The sequence below is a fragment of the Homo sapiens genome, chromosome 11 (genome assembly GCF_000001405.40).
Source record: "Homo sapiens chromosome 11, GRCh38.p14 Primary Assembly".
NCBI lineage: Eukaryota > Metazoa > Chordata > Mammalia > Primates > Hominidae > Homo > Homo sapiens.
The window spans coordinates 57,482,034-57,497,287 of NC_000011.10; the positions used below are offsets into that span (position 1 = coordinate 57,482,034).

Sequence of the window (15,254 nt, forward strand, 5' to 3'; positions counted from 1 at the left end):
TACCGAGTGGAAAGGGTGATGCCAGGTGTGGGGAGTAACAGATAGAGGAGGCAAAGTGAGTGGAGACCAAGCCAGACCGGGGAGGAGGGGGCCACAGCCAAGGTGAGACAGGTCAGCAGCCAGAAACCGAAGCAGACACTTGCAGGGTGCACCCCGCCCTCTCTTCGTGGCAATCTGAGACCGAGGACGTGGAGACCCTGGAGAGCCCCCAACCTTGTTTCTGGGGGGTGGGTCAGAGAGGAAGCCTCTCATCCCCGGGCACCAGCGGCCTTCCCGGGAGGCTCAACACGCAGATACCTGGATAGGCGTCCATCACTCCCCCGGCCAGAGCCCACCAACGCTCCTCGAGGTCCGACCTTGTCCCTCCTTCTACCCCACAGTCCCCAGTCCTAGCTCATCTGCATAAAGCTCCAATTAACATGTTTTTCCTTTGCTATTTGCGATCCCAGAACTCGTTCCCCACCCCGAGCCCGTTTCCCGCCGCCTCCTCGCCCCTGGGAGGGCGGCCCCATTAACCCTCGCGACCCGGGCCGCTCCTGGCGGTCCTGACCCCGCCACCCCGTCCCGCGGCGGGGGTTTGGGGGTGAGGGGCGCGCCCTGGGGCAGAGGATTGCGCGGCAGGGTCTGCCACAGGGCAGAGGCCAGGGCTCTCCGGGAAAAAGGCAGGCGCATATATGCCCCCCTTTCTGGGAAAAGACGGGGAGGGGGGCTTCTCCTGGGAGACTCCAGGCTTCGAAATTCCTCGTTCCCTATCCTCCGGCCCCCGCACCCCTCCTCCTCCCCGCCACGCACCCTCTCCCCTCCCCAGCCATCTGTTCCACTCCGCAGCGCCGCGACAAACACGGCTCCAGCTCGCTTCCGCCCCTGCCCAGCCCCCTCCCCAAGCCCCGGGGAGTGGGGGAGTGAGCAGACGCCCTTCTCCTAGGAGGCCGGAATTTCTGCCTCCATCTCCCACCGGGGTCCGGCTGGCCAGAGGCAAGCTTCGAGACCCCCCACCAACCACCACCACCGTTGCGAGGGCCGGTGAGGCTGCAGATAACGCTTGCAAGGACGGGAGTCGGGGAGGGTGTAGGGCGAGTTTAAAGGACGGGCAGAGCAAGCCCCGGGAAGAGGCAGGGGTTTTCCCTCCCGGGTCGCCGCCCCCCGCACCCTCGGAGCCAGCCGCAGCCACGCAGCGCCGCCTGCCGGGCACACCAAGGACCTGGCGCGCACGTGGCGCTTACCCCCACCCCCGGGTCCGCTCCTGGCTCGCGCTCAGCCTCCCCAGACTATTCGCAAATTGAGGATCCCGGACACAGAGTGCAGAGACCCCGGCAAGCCTACTGAAAGCCAGCCGAACCCGCTGGTGGGTGCTAGCCAATTCTGATTTTGTACTTTACAAAAACAAAAAAAGTCAGTGTTGGAAGTCGGGAGTCTGGGCTCAGAGCAGCAGGGATCTGCGATGTGACTTTGCCAAGTCTCCAGACCCCTGAGGACAGGTTTTCCTATCTGAAAACGGAGGGGACAGTCTCTCTTATTAACTTCTCAAGAGAAACAAAGACAAAGGGAGGGAAAATGGCTTAGCTGGAATGCTGTCTTACAGAGCCAACCTTTGGAGGTGGGGGAGATGGCCAAGGCCTCTGAGGTCACTCTTGGCCCCAGGAGCAGCTGAGAACCGGAAAGAAGCTTGGGACCTCCTTTCTGCAGAGCTATCCTTTCCACAGACTGCCGAGGTTCCAAATTGAGCTCCACCACCTAACACTGTGTGCCCTTGGGTGTGTGCCTTAACCTCTCTGGGCTTGTTTCCTACAGCGACAAGAAAGAATGACAACACCAACCTCTTAGGCTATAGTTTGGATAAAATGAGATAGCTGTGTAGAACAGACAGATCCTAAACCAATGTTAGTTTTCCCTTCATTTGGGGACTTGCTCTAACCTCCAGGGCTTATGTCCCAGAGGCACAAGCAGGTGCAGGGCTGGATAAATAAGGTATGTCTTTCTGCAGGATCTCTTGTCCTCACTGATGGTGTCTTCTCTTGATATAGATAATTTTAAAGCTTCACGTTATTTATTTATTTACTTTAAAGCCTCACTTTAATGTTAAAGGTAAATGTAAATATAGTATAACAAGGAAGCTCAAAATTTGCATAAAGTTTTAAGATAAAATAGGAGACTCCAAAAAAGTGTTACTTTCGGCAGGCCCTAGGGATGCTATGGTGGGAAGTTTGAGTCATACCTTAGCATTCTTTCTAAAGCATTCTGTCCTAATCCTCTGTATGGAGAAAAGCCAGCTTCCTGGATGTACCCCAAATCCTGGGAAGTAGGGGGCAGGAGCTGGACTCCCTCCAAGCACTAAGGGCAGGGCATGGTTGGGAACAGGGAGGTGAGCCAGACAGCCAGAGGCGAACGGGCTGGCATGCCAAGCGTCCTAGTTAATGCCCAGCTGAGCCTGGGTGAAGAAGGATGGGGGTGTGGGAAGACACCCCCCACCAACCGCCAAAGACAGGCGCACACCAGCCAGTCTCTCACTTCCCTTTTTATTTCCTCTAAGACTTGCAAGCAGCAGCACCAGAGAGGGAACCTGCCCTCCTGGCCCTGGAAGGGGCCGACCCCCAACCCCTAACCCAGGACACAGCTGGCACCTCAGGCCCCTTTCCTTCTGAAAGGAGGGCTGTGTCTCTCTCACATTCACACATACACAGACACATGCATGTGTGCACACTCATGGCACATGGGACCTCAGGGGTAGCCTGTTTGCCGATCCCCCCAAGAGGTACCAGGAGGCAGACCGCTAGAAGGAGATAAGAGGCACCCTGGTCTCCTCCAACCCAAGGAGGAAGAAGGCTCAACCCCTCTAGGATAGGGACTGTCTTCAGTCAATGGAGCGTTGACTTAGGGGGCGTTTTTGAAGGTTTTTTTTCCTCCTTTTTGCAGTCTTTACAAAAATAGAACTTCTCTTGGTATTTATAAATCTACGGCCATGGCTCTATGTGCATGTTACAGGTAGAAAAGCCATATGGGGCACTCCTTTTGGTTGCTCAGGCCTTGATTGCCTGTCATCCAGGTCCCTTGGTCTGAGAAGTCTATGCGGTCACCTCAGAGCCGCTAAGCACCTTCAGTGGGCCCATCCCATTGGCGGCGTACTCCTGCTGGAGCCGGGCACGGTAATAGAAGAGGTAGGAAGGCAACAGGAATCCCAGGAGTGAGAATAGCAGGAGGCCCAGATTCACCTTTAGGGCAAGGAGAGAGAAACAGAGTCAAGTAGGTAGTCATCTGCCCTTAGCCTCCCACAGGGAGGAGAAGGCGGCCATTTTTCTCCAGGTCCTGAGCCAGAATAAATACAGCTAGTACTTATTATGTGTAGTCATTGTTCCACCAGTATCTCACTTAATGTTCAGCAATTCTGCAAAGTGGCTGAGATGAGACTTCTCAGGTATAACAAGTGGCAGGGCCTGGTGGGTGCCCACACCATATGGCACTCACTAGGTAGGTATGAGGAAGGCACAGCACTGTAGGAGTCTGGGCTGGTCAGGCTGCTCCCGAAATGGGGCCTTCTGGGCTCACCCCTCTGACCTTTGGAGATGTTAACCAATGGGATCCCGTTCAGGGTGGCGAGAGGAGGCTCTCAGACACAGTTCAAGGAACTGGGATGCACAGCCTGGTGGACAGAAGGCTTGGAAGGCCCAGGACACGCGGGCTCTGACTCGGTTCACATCCCACTCTGCATTACTCACTGTGTGACTTTGGGCAAATAATGGCAATTCTTACTGAGTGCCTCCTTCTCAGGGCTGTTGTGGCGAAGATGTAAGTTAAAAAAAAGTATGCATCATGCTTAGCACATAGTGAGTGCTTGGTAAATAGAAGCAGTTATTTCATCACAATTCTTTGGGAGGAGGGTTTACGTGTGGGTGGCCCCACAGGGCAGATGAAAGATCAGCGTCAGGGAGGCAGATGAGTTCAATGTAAGGAAAAGACTTACTAACAGCAGCAGGGCTGCCTCGTGCAGGAGTGGGTGCCCTACCACTGAGGGTATCTAAGCTAAGAGGGAAGGGTCCCCTTTCAGGGGTGCTGGAGACAGGATCCCACACTAGGTAGAACTGGATTGGACCAATGGTGCCTGAACACAGGCCCAAGAGTCAGGACTGGCCACTTCACAAAGCACCTGGAGTTTACTAAAAACAGACTCCTAGGAGGTCAGGCACTGTGGCTCACGCCTGTAACCCCAGCACTCTGGGAGGCCAAGGTGAGAAGATCATTTGAGGCCAGGAGTTTAAGACTAGCCTGTGCAACATGGCAAGACCCTGTTTATCTGTACAAAATTTTTTTTTAAAAAATTAGCCAGGTATGGTAGCCATCACCTGTGGTTGCAGCTACTCAGAAGGCTGGGGCCGGAGGATCGCTTGAGCCCAGGAATCAGAGGCTGCAGTGAGCTGTGATTTTACCACTGCACTCCAGACTGGGCAACAGAACAAGACACCTTCTCTACAAAAAAAAAAAAACAATAGGGCCGGGCGCGGTGGCTAAGGCATGTAATCCCAGCACTTTGGGAGGCTGAGGAGGGCAGATCACGAGGTCGGGAGATCGAGGCCATCCTGGCTAGCATGGTGAAACCCCGTCTCTACTAAAAATCCAAAAAAAAAAAAAAAATTAGCTGGGCGTGGTGGTGGGCGCCTGTGGTCCCAGCTACTTGAGAGGCTGAGGCAGGAGAATGGCATGAACCCGGGAGGCGGAGCTTGCAGTGAGCCGAGATCGCACCACTGCACTCCAGCCTGGGCAACAGAATGAGACTCCGTCTCAAAAAATAAAAATAAAAATAAATAAATAAATAAAATAACAATAAATTAAAAACAAAAACAGACTCCTACAGTCAGGCTGAGATATCCTGATTCAGGGGACTGGGGAATCTGTATTTTTAACACTCCGTGAGGGGTTCTAAAAGGCAGACAACTTGGAAACCTGCAGATTAGAGACCTCTGAGGTGCCTCTGGCTGAGATGAGTGAGGGATGGCACCACATACAAGGCCCTACCCCTGCCCCCAGGAGAGTGGCTCCTGCTCCCCCCACACCAACCCTCGCTCTCACCCAGAAGGGCTCTCCTTTCAGGGGTCCCACCATCGCCATGAAAAGTGGCTGCTGAAGCAAGGCGAACACAGCACTGATGAGGGACTGCAGGCCTGTCAGCGTCCCAAAGTGGTTGGATGGGAACCTGTCCACGAGACGGGGAGTATCAGGGGTGTGTGGCCCTCTCCAGCCCAGGCCAGCACCTCTCCTATCCCCTCCCCACCATGGTCCCCGCTGGCCAGGCAGGGTGGTGCTTAAGCGTTCGGGCTCTTTGCATGGGCTCTTTGGTCCCCAGCCTTGAGGGCAAATGCTCCAACTTCAGGGCCACTGAGCTGGGTTCTCACACCTCCTGTATGTGTGATATTGGCAAGTGGCTCAAACTCCCTGAGCCCCACTTCCTCCACTAATAACAGGGATGGCATTGACCTCGCAGGACTGTCCACTGTATTCTGTCAACAAACATTTAGCTGAGAACCTACTATGTGCCAGGCACTGCTCTAGGTGCTGGAGATACCACGATCAAGCAAGTCAACAGATTCCTGCCATCGAGGAGGTGGCATTCCCATGGAGCAGGTGGCGGTCAGACAATAAGCAAGAGATAGGCAGAGTGTTAGTGATAAACGCTGAGAAAAACCAAGCAGAGAAGCGGGCAGTAGGGAGGTTGCAATTGTACATGGGACAGCCAAGGGAGGCCTCACTGAGAAGAGGACAGTCAGGGAAAGACCTGAAGAAGGAGAGAAGGTAAGATTGGGCACCTTGCAGATATCTGGAGAAGAATGTTCTAGAAACAGGGACTAGTACATGCAAAGATGCCAAGCAGGGAACACACTTGAGACTTCCGGAGCACTAGGAAGCACTGTGGCTGTGGCAGAGTGAACAATGGAGGAGGGGGAGCTAGAGGGGAGTGAAGTGCTGGGGCCAGAGCTTGCAGGGCTTTTTAGGCCATAGTAAAGCCTTTGGCTTTTACTCTGAGACAGATGAGACAGGACACCACAGAGTGATGTGAAGAGACTTATGTCCTGACAGGTGACTGCAGCCCCTGTGTTAAAAATAGACTGAGACAGCGGGGCCAGGGCAGATGTGGGAGACTAAAGGCTGCCACAATAATCCAGGCTAGAGATGTTGGTGGCTAGGACTGGAGAGGCAGCAGTGGAGGTGACAAGAAGGGTCAGATTTGGGGTGTGTAGAAGCTGCTGCTGGCTGTACTGAGGACGGAGTGAACATGGAGTGTGAGGGAGAGAAACATCAAGGAAACTCCAGGGTTCTGGCTTGAGCAGATGAAGGAAAGAGAGCTGCCCTCTGCCGAGACCGCTGCAGTGAGGCTGAACTCAGGGAGTGATGGTCAAGGATCCTGCCTGCTGCCTGCACCAACGGAGCACTTGATAATGGTTGTCATTTTGTCATCATTATTGTAATGTCCTGTTACTCCATCACATACACAGGGGAGAGTCCCTCAGCAGCGCCCAGCAGGGGAAACCAGGAGAGAGATGCAAGTGGGGACTGTCCAACATGAAGAGGAAAATTATAAGGCAAATGGCTGCCCTTGGGAAATTTCTTCAGGGTGGGCATGGAGGGGAGGCCATTCTGGGGGCCGTTTCAAACAGCAGACATAGAACCAAAGTGTCATCAAGCCAGGTATTTCAGCTTCCTCTAAGGGAAGACTCCAACAGGGGGAGTCAATTACAGCAGGATAGGCTGCCTTTAAGGAAGTGAGCTCCCTGCCATCAGAGGGTCTCAGAGAGAGGTGCATTAGGGGATGCCTGGGGCCCTCCCAACCCTTCCCTGGGGTTCTCTGATCACGGTTGCAAAGCTCAGGAAGGCATTTCAGCCCAACAGACTCACACTGCAGCATAGAGACTCCCACAGGCTGAGTGGAAGAAACCTCGAACAATGGTGTGCAGGACAAAGGTCACAAACTAAAACCAAAAAGAGAGAGTGAAGAGGTTAGGAGAGTGTGTGGAGGCTGGAGGAAGGAGGGGTAGGGCGAAGAGGCCAACTGGGCCTCAATTCCCACCCCCTCGCCAACCCAATCTACTAGAAACACTTCCTGGAGAACCCGGAAAATAGATCCAGATCAGAAGACCAGAACTGCGCTTCCTGGAAGGCAGGTGCTGGATGGACCATCCCTTTGGAGGAGCCTCGGGAGGCAGGGAGAGGGGAAGGATGAAGGTGGGTACCTGGAGGTGTAAGTTGTTGATGAGACAGGTGATGCCAAAACCCACAAGCAGCAGGTTGGTCAGGGTGAAGGCACTGATGGCATTGGTGAGCTTTTGGATCTTGCAGTAGCGTGGTCTGATGGATTTGGTAGCAACCCCGTCCCTGAGGAGTACGGGAAGTCACTGGCTGCTGCCTCTACGTTCCCAGGACTCCCTGGTTCTTGGCCTGGCCCCTCCCCCTTCAGATGTGCCTTCGATGTCAGGGCAGCAGAAAACACAGAAATCCATGTTTCTATGGGAAACCCATAGAAACCCACGTTCTCTAGCTCCATGTTTCTCAAAGTGTTGCTCCCCTACCCAATGACACACGCATCAAAGCGGGTGCTTTCTTAACATGCAGATTCACAGGCCTCATCTCGGCCCTCAGAATCTCAGCGGGGATATCTGCAAATCTGCATTTGGACAAATATCCCCCACTAAGTGATTCTCATGCACACTTGAAGGTTTGAGAACCAAGGATGGGAAGGAAGGTGGGAAGTGGGAAGCTCTCACACCGTCTCTCATCAGAAGTCCTCAGGAAGGTGTCCCTGCCCTAGACATAAGCAGATGCCCTCCTGGGGACAGCAGCTTGGCCTGACTGTCCAGCGCTTCCTCTCTCCGGCACAATCAAGGGCACTGAGGCCAGCCCAGGAGAGAGGTCAGTAGGCTGGGGTGAGGACAGGCGGCCCATGTGTCCTGGACAGAAGGGCCCTGCTAGGGGACCCTCACCATTAGGAGCAGAGGGTAGAGGAGGAAGGCTCAGTGCCAGGGCCAGGCTCTGCTAGCAGGGAGGGAGGCCACTGGATTTCCTTCTCTCCCAGTCTCTTTCTCCCATCCTCTTAGGATAAACAGGGACTGTTTGGATGAACACAAAAAGAGCAAAAGCAGTCACAGAATCTGGGTTCAAGACTCCATGGTGAATCCCAGCTACTCGGGAGGCTGAGGCAGGAGAATCGCTTGAACCTGGGAGGCAGAGGTTGCAGTGAGCTGAGATCGTGCCACTGCACTCCAGCCTGGGCGACAGAGCAAGACTGTCTCAATAAAAAAAAAAAAAAAAACCCTCAATGGTGGTCTCCAGCCAACAAGACAGCCCTCAAGGATCCTGCCTCCTGGTATTCCCCTGCTTTGTCCAGTCTCCTTCCACAGTATATCAGGGTTGCTCTGTGCCTATAATAGAACGTAACAGAAGTGATGGTATGCTACGTCTGAGATTATGTGAGAGAAGATACGGGGTCTCTGTCGCTTAGCCCTCTTGCTCAAGGGAAAGCAGGTGCTGTGTCCTGAGCAGCCCTATGGAGAGGCCATGGGGGTAATTGAACTGACATAGATTCTCCAACCCCAGTCAGCCCTTCAGATGACTGCAGCCCTGGCTGACAGCCTGACTATGTCTTCATGAGAGACTGTGACTCAGAATCAGCCGGCTGAGTCTCTCCCTGATTTCTGACTGTCAGAAACTGTATGAGATGAGAAGTGTTTGTTGTTTTAAAATGCCAAGCCTTGGGGTGATTTGTTATACAGCAATAAATATCTAATATACCAACTCTACCTATTCTAGCCCTAACAAGACTTTAGCGTGTACCCTTATAACACAGGTTCTGGAGGCTGCCACTGAAAGCTGTGTGATCTTGGGTGAATGACCTAACTGTGCAACCCTGTACCTCGGTTTCCTCAACTGCAAAATGAAGATATTAACGCATCTACCTCAAAGAGGTGTTGTAGGACTAAACAAGGCAAGGTGCCAAGTGCACAGTCAGCACTCTGCATTAGCTATTCTTATTATTAAGCAAGCCAGGTCCCTTCCTAGCCTCAGTTTCCTCATCTGTAAAATGGGGAGGTACCCCTGATCTCCTAGGGTTCTTGGGAGAAAGCAACAAGTTGCTGGATGTAAACGCACAGAGAAAATGAAAAGCACTGCCTGACCACTTGCTGTCACCATCCCTGTACAGGCAGGTCACCTGGCATCTCCGAGGACAGTGCCCTGAGTTGGGGCGTCCACGCAGTCCTTGATCCGCCAGTCCATGATGTAGCCAATGAGGGGGCAGGTGAGAAGGCACAACAGCTGCATGGCCCCGAAGACGGAGGAGTAGAACCCAACTGGGCAGGATGGGAAGGGCAGTGGGGTCAGGAACTGGCACTCAGTGGACACTATCACCCCTTCCAGCGGAGGCCAGAGAGCACCAAAATAGCCTTCCTCTGAACCCAGACTCTTACATCCCACAAAAGGGTTACCTGGGTGGGCCCAGGCCTAGAGGAGTCCCGCCCCCTGAGAAGCGGGTTGCAGTGGGGTGGGCGTGAGCCAGGGCCCTGCTTTCATAGCCCTACCTGTCTCTGCCACCTTTTGTTGCTGTTCATTTGTCTCTGTGGGTAGGGAAACGTATGGTGAGGGGAGCTCAGCCAGGGTGACCCGCCTGTGCCCCCAACCCCCAGGGGCCTCAGCGGTGCCTCACCATGCTCCTGGCCACCAGTCACAAGGTACTCCAGCATCTTGTTCACAGCAGCCATGTAGAAGATGATCCGCAGCTGGGTCATGCCCATGGTGAGGAGGCTCCACAGGAAAGTGGGGGAGCAGAGGCTCTTGCGTAAGGGGACAGACCCTGGGGAGACAGCAGGGGGCGCCCCTGAGCCCCAGACCTTCCACTGCCCTCTGATTGTCCCAGCTCATGCAGTTCTTGGGGGGAGTGACACTAACTATGTGACTTTGGAGAGAGACTGGTTTCTTCAAAGACGGGAAAGTTCAGATTCACTTGCCTCCAGGCTCTTGCTCAGCTCAGAACATTTTTGGATGTATGTCCTATGCTTCGTGTGGTAAAAATAACTCAGTTAGGTGCCATGGCTCACGCCTGTAATCCCAACACTTTGAAAGGCAGAGGTAGGAGGATCACTTGAGCCCAGGAGTTCAAGACCTGGTGGTCAACATAGCAAGACCCTATCTCTAAAAATATATATATATATTTATTTATTTATTTATATACAGAAATTATATATATATTTATATATATAAATATACATATATATAAAAATATATATATATGAAATAAGCCAGGCATGGTGGTGCACACCTGTATTCCCAGCTACTCAGGAGGCTGAGGCAGGAGGATTGCTTGAGCCCAGGAGTTCAAGACCAGCCTGGTGGTCAACATAGCAAGACCCTATCTCTAAAAAATATATATATATATAAAATATAATATAAATATATATATAATTTATATATAAAAAATAATATAATATATAATATAATATATAATAATATAATATATATAATTTTGTGTATATATATATATATATATATATATATATATATATATAAAAAAATAAGCCAGGCATGGTTGTGCACACCTGTATTCCCAGCTACTCAGGAGGCTGAGGCAGGAGGATCACTTGAGCCCAGGAGGTCAAGGCTGCAGTGAACTATGATTGCACTACCGCACTCCAGCCCAGGCAACAGCAATACCCTGTCTCTATTTTACAAAAAAAAAAAAAAAAAAAAACCTGGCAGGGCACGGTGGCTCACACTTGTAATCCCAAAACTTTCGGAGGCTGAGGCAGGAGCATCATGAGGTCAGGAGTTCGAGACCAGCCTGGCCAACATGGTGAAACCCCGTCTCTACTAAAGATACAAAAATTAGCCGAGCATGGTGGTGCACGCCTGTAGTCCCAGCTATTTGGGAGGCTGAGGCAGGAGAATTGCTTGAACCCGGGAGGCGGAGGTTGCAGTGAGCCAAGATCATGCCACTGCACTCCAGCCTGGGCAACAGAGTAAGGCTCCATCTCGGGGCGGGGGGGAAAGAAACAAAAGAAAAAAACTCTGAAGCACTCACTATGGGCTACATACTTGACATTTATTACCCCATTTAATAAAATCTTACAACAACCCTATCCTTATCACATTTTACTGATGAGGAAACTGCAGCTCAGGAAGTTAAATGACTTGCTCAAGCTCACAGGGCTGGAAGCAGCAGGTCAGCCTAACTCCAGCTCGTGCCCTTAGCCATGTTGCCCTCTGAGAATCGGCACTGGGGGTAACCACCCTCAAACTGCACACCGTTTTGCACTTTACAAAGAGCTTCCACACCCATGGTGTCATTCAATCATCACAACTAACTTTACAGTTTGTGGGGTGCTTTTAGTGCTAGTTTAAGAGGTAAGGAAATCAAGAGCAAGGTTAGGTGATCTACACAAGTCACATAGCCTATAACTGGAGAGCAGGACTCAAACTCCTCAACTCCCGCTCCTGACTCCAAGGAGCTCCTTCCACTTATCATGGAGCTGGCGGTCCTGGGATCTTCATGTACCCTCCTGAGAAGCAGCCCAGGCAGGTGCTGCAGCTCCTCCTGTGACCAGCAGGGGGCAAAAGACAGCCAGGTGTGGAGGACCCCTGCCAGGAGGCTCACGGGCCTGGCTGCACCTGATGCAATAAGCTCAGAGGTTGCAAGGGGCCCTGAGGAAACCAGCTACCCGACAGGCCCAGAGACCTTGTCCCCATTTTGGAAGCTCCTCCCTCCCCAATCCCAGGAATCCAGCAGGGTAACCCTGAATCTGAACTTCCCAGCGTTAGCTGAGCTTTGATGTGCCCATCTGTAAATGAGGAGCATGCCCCACCTACATCATGGGGTGTTGTAAGGACTGAAGAGGGGTGCGAATAAATACTCAACCATGAGTGCTCACTGAATATGAGGACCCACCATCACTATCCCCCAAGGCCGGCACCTTGACCAGACACTCACTCTCAGGAAGGTTTTCTGAGGTGCCCCGAACATCCTGGGGTGACATGAAGGCATCCGAACCGTCCTCCAGGCTGGGGGCCTTCTGGCTGAGCCTCTGGCCCATGGTGGTCACATGGGTGTAGAAGAGGTCACCTGTCACCTTGTGGTCCAGGGCCAGCCCACTCAGCTTGATCTTCTTCCTGCAGGCAGCCAGGCCAGAGTGTAGAGGAACCAGTCACACAGAGCCCACCTTCAACGGCCTAGTGCTCGGCGGCCATCCCAGCGGTTTCCAGCACTCCTTTACCCGGCATTGACATGCTCACAAGCTCCTAATGCAGAGCTTCTGTTTCTGTTGCTCAGAGCTTGGCTCAGGGACCAGCTTAGCACAGATGCCAAGTAAATGAAGAGTGGATCAGCTGTTTTTCACTTGGGCTGTTCCCATGGAGGAGGCAGCATTAACACCTCAGACTCCAGAGTCAGACAGCCTGCGTCCAACCTAAGATTCACCCTCCTTTGAATGGCATGACCTTTGGAAAGTCACTTTGTTCCCTGTACTTTTGTTATTAATGGGGTTAATACCCAATCTACATCATACAGCTGTTTGAGGATGGTATAGGGGCTAAGTACAGTGCCTGGCATAACTGTCAGTTCTGTAATGTCACCTTATGTGCTTGGTGTGGAGTATCACCTCTTGCCTCTGCTGAACTGACAGGGGGCTGGAAAAAGTTGGCATTCAGGTGGCTCCACAAAAGATGGGGTGCTTGATTCTTTTATGTCCCTCTTTTTGGGACCACATGGCATCGAGTGCCATTGCTGAGGTGCCTCCTACTCAGATCTCCTCCAAACCCAGAAAGGATGAAAACAGTATTTGTCATTACTTTTTTTTTTTTTTTGAGACGGAGTTTTTGATCTTGTTGCCCAGGCTGGAGTGCAATGGCACGATCTCGGCTCACCGCAACCTCAGCCTCTAGGGTTCAAGTGATTCTCCTGCCTCAGCCTCCTGACTAGCTGGGATTACAGGCATGCACCACCACACCCAGCTAATTTTGTATTTTTAGTAGAGACGGTGTTTCTCCATGTTGGTCAGGCTGGTCTAGAACTCCCGACCTCAGGCGATCCACCCTCTTCGGCCTCCCAAAGTGCTGGGATTATAGGCATGACCCACTGCGCCTGGCCCATTACTTTTAATGGCAAAAACCACAATTACTTTTGCACCCACATAAATAGTTACCATGAGCTGAGCATGGTGGCTCACGCCTGCAATCCCAGCACTTTGGGAGGCTGAGCCAGGCGGATCACTTGAGGCCAGGAGTTCAAGACCAGCCTGGCCAACATGGTGAAACCCCGTCTCCACTAAAAAATACAAAAATTAGCTGGGTGTGGTGGCGCGTGCCTGTAATCCCAGCTATTCAGGAGGCAGAGGTTGCAGTTCACTGAAATCATGCCACTGCACTCCAGCCTGGGCGACAGAATGAGACTCTGTCTCAAAAATAAATAAATAAATAAATAAATATTTACCATGTTTTGACCACCTGTTATGTGCCAACTGTATTACTTAAAAACACCCATGGGAGGCTGGGCACAGTGGCTCACGCCTGTAATCGGACACTTTGGAAGGGCAAGGGGGGAGGATCCCTTAAGGCCAGGAGTTCAAAACCAGCCTAGGTAACACAGTAAGCCCTGTCTCTACAAAAAATAAAAAAATTAACTGGGCATGGTGGTGTGTGCCTGTAACCCCAGCTCCTCGGGAGGCAGAGGGAGAGGTTCGCTTGAGCCCAGCAGTTTTAGGTTGCAGTGAGCCAGGACCAAGACACTACACTCCAGCCTGAGTGACAGAGCAAGACACTGCCTCTAAACAAACAAACAAACAAAAGCGACCTGTGGGTAGGTAGGAACAGGCTCATAGTACAGATGAGAAAGCAGAGCTTGGAGGGCTCAAGCGATTTGCCAAGCAGAGGTCCAAGCCGAGGTCTCTCTGAATCCAAAGTTAATTCCGTCTATCATATCACCACAGCCCTCTCTGCCCCAGGGAGAGTCTCTGCCCACTCCAGCCACTCACGTGTAATTGACTTCCTCAGGGGCAGGAAAGGCTTCGATGGGCCAGTTGAGGGTGCAGTTCAGAAAGATAAGGCAGGCCAGGCCAGACCAGGTGAACATGATGACCACGAAGGCCACACCGGCATCGTAGATCAGCTGTGAGAGGAGGGGGCAGGCCCGTGGGGGAGACTGCCTGGCCCCAGACCCCACCAAGGTAGATCCCAGGCCTCAGAGGCCTTAAAGAAGTTCTCTTCTCCCCTTGTCCTTGTGCCCAATTTGCAGATGAGGAAACCAAGACCAGAAGTTTAGAGTCAGACTCAGAAGACCCATCATTCCTTTTTCTTTTTCACTTGAGGCCCCCTAGAGAGCTATGAAATAGTCTCCACAAAGCCTGAAGTTGCTGGCCACTGGCTCAAAATATCTCTGAAATTTCCATTATCTTAAAAAAATACATACATTTTTGCCTATGACTCCACAAACATTCATGTTCATGTTCGCACAAAAATGTCCATTTCATAGTACGTACAAAGGAAACTTAGTGCTCTAGGTTTACCGGGCCTAATCGTGTTTATCCTGCCCCTTCCTGGCACATTCCCCAGGGGAAAAGGCAAACCCAGACTGCTCATGCTCAGCCTTTTCTCACCTTTCCCAGGTCCTCCCACGTGCAACAACTGGGGGGGTTGGGGAGAGGGAGGTGCAAGTGCTCTGCCCAAGGGCTCTCAACCCCAGGGCAGGTAAGTTCTCAATTGAATGAGATTCTGTGCAAATGTGTCAGCCCTTCTTATGGAAGAAGCTGATGCACCATCTGTCCTCTTGTCCTCCCCATACCATCTGACCAGGATAATTAATGTCTGCTCTCCCCTCAGGCTCCTGCTCAAACCTTTTTCTCTGCAGTCTTGGACCTTGGTGCCTTTTCCTCCCTAGGGGCAGGACAGAGCTTCAAAGGGCCACACCCCCAAATGTGTGGAGGTAAGATCTGGCTCTTCAAACACTACTTCAGTTGAAAAGAAGGGAGAACTGCCCACCCTCCATGCCTGCCCACCAGAACAACTGATGGCCCCCCCACCCATGCGCTCTCTCAAACTCCTTTGGAGACACTGAGCAAAAGTACCTTCTTTAGTACTCTTTGTAAAGTGCAAAACGGTATGCAGTTTGGTACTGCCCACCGTGGAGGTTGAGGAGCATGGCATGGCTCAGTCAAAGGGTCCTTTGATATTTGACAGAGGAAATTGAGGCCCCCATCTTGCACTGAGCTAAAACTTTGGTCCCCTGGCTTCGA

General features: G+C 52.1%; 1 protein-coding gene across 7 annotated transcripts in view, besides 3 other annotated features; it reads right to left on the bottom strand.

The window, feature by feature from the left end:
- Positions 982-1,311: a silencer, noted in NCBI's record as "silent region_3350". NCBI's record gives its function as "represses an Ori minimal core promoter by ATAC-STARR-seq in GM12878 lymphoblastoid cells {active_cell/tissue: GM12878}" and the evidence as "EXISTENCE:reporter gene assay evidence [ECO:0000049][PMID:35858748]".
- SLC43A1 (solute carrier family 43 member 1) overlaps positions 2,501-15,254 on the bottom strand; it is a 31,169-nt gene continuing 18,415 nt past the window's right edge. For all 7 annotated transcript variants that reach the window (XM_017018452.2, NM_003627.6, XM_011545320.4 and 4 more), the window contains 9 exons: positions 13,998-14,131; positions 11,960-12,138; positions 9,683-9,829; positions 9,558-9,593; positions 9,191-9,329; positions 7,218-7,359; positions 6,883-6,956; positions 5,062-5,185; positions 2,501-3,209 (listed from right to left, as the gene is read on the bottom strand). In XM_017018452.2, coding sequence (XP_016873941.1) covers positions 3,063-3,209; positions 5,062-5,185; positions 6,883-6,956; positions 7,218-7,359; positions 9,191-9,329; positions 9,558-9,593; positions 9,683-9,829; positions 11,960-12,138; positions 13,998-14,131 — 1,122 coding nt within the window. In that variant the 3' untranslated portion in view covers positions 2,501-3,062. The remainder of the gene's footprint in view (positions 3,210-5,061; positions 5,186-6,882; positions 6,957-7,217; positions 7,360-9,190; positions 9,330-9,557; positions 9,594-9,682; positions 9,830-11,959; positions 12,139-13,997; positions 14,132-15,254) is intronic.
- Positions 7,458-7,958: an enhancer, noted in NCBI's record as "H3K27ac hESC enhancer chr11:57256964-57257464 (GRCh37/hg19 assembly coordinates)". NCBI's record gives its function as "activates a minimal SCP1, AML or CMV promoter by ChIP-STARR-seq in naive H9 embryonic stem cells {active_cell/tissue: H9 hESC(naive)}" and the evidence as "EXISTENCE:reporter gene assay evidence [ECO:0000049][PMID:30033119]".
- Positions 11,202-12,401: an enhancer, noted in NCBI's record as "MED14-independent group 3 enhancer chr11:57260708-57261907 (GRCh37/hg19 assembly coordinates)". NCBI's record gives its function as "activates an origin of replication core promoter dependent on BRD2, BRD4, P300/CBP and CDK7 cofactors, and independent of MED14, by STARR-seq in HCT116 cells {active_cell/tissue: HCT116}" and the evidence as "EXISTENCE:reporter gene assay evidence [ECO:0000049][PMID:35650434]".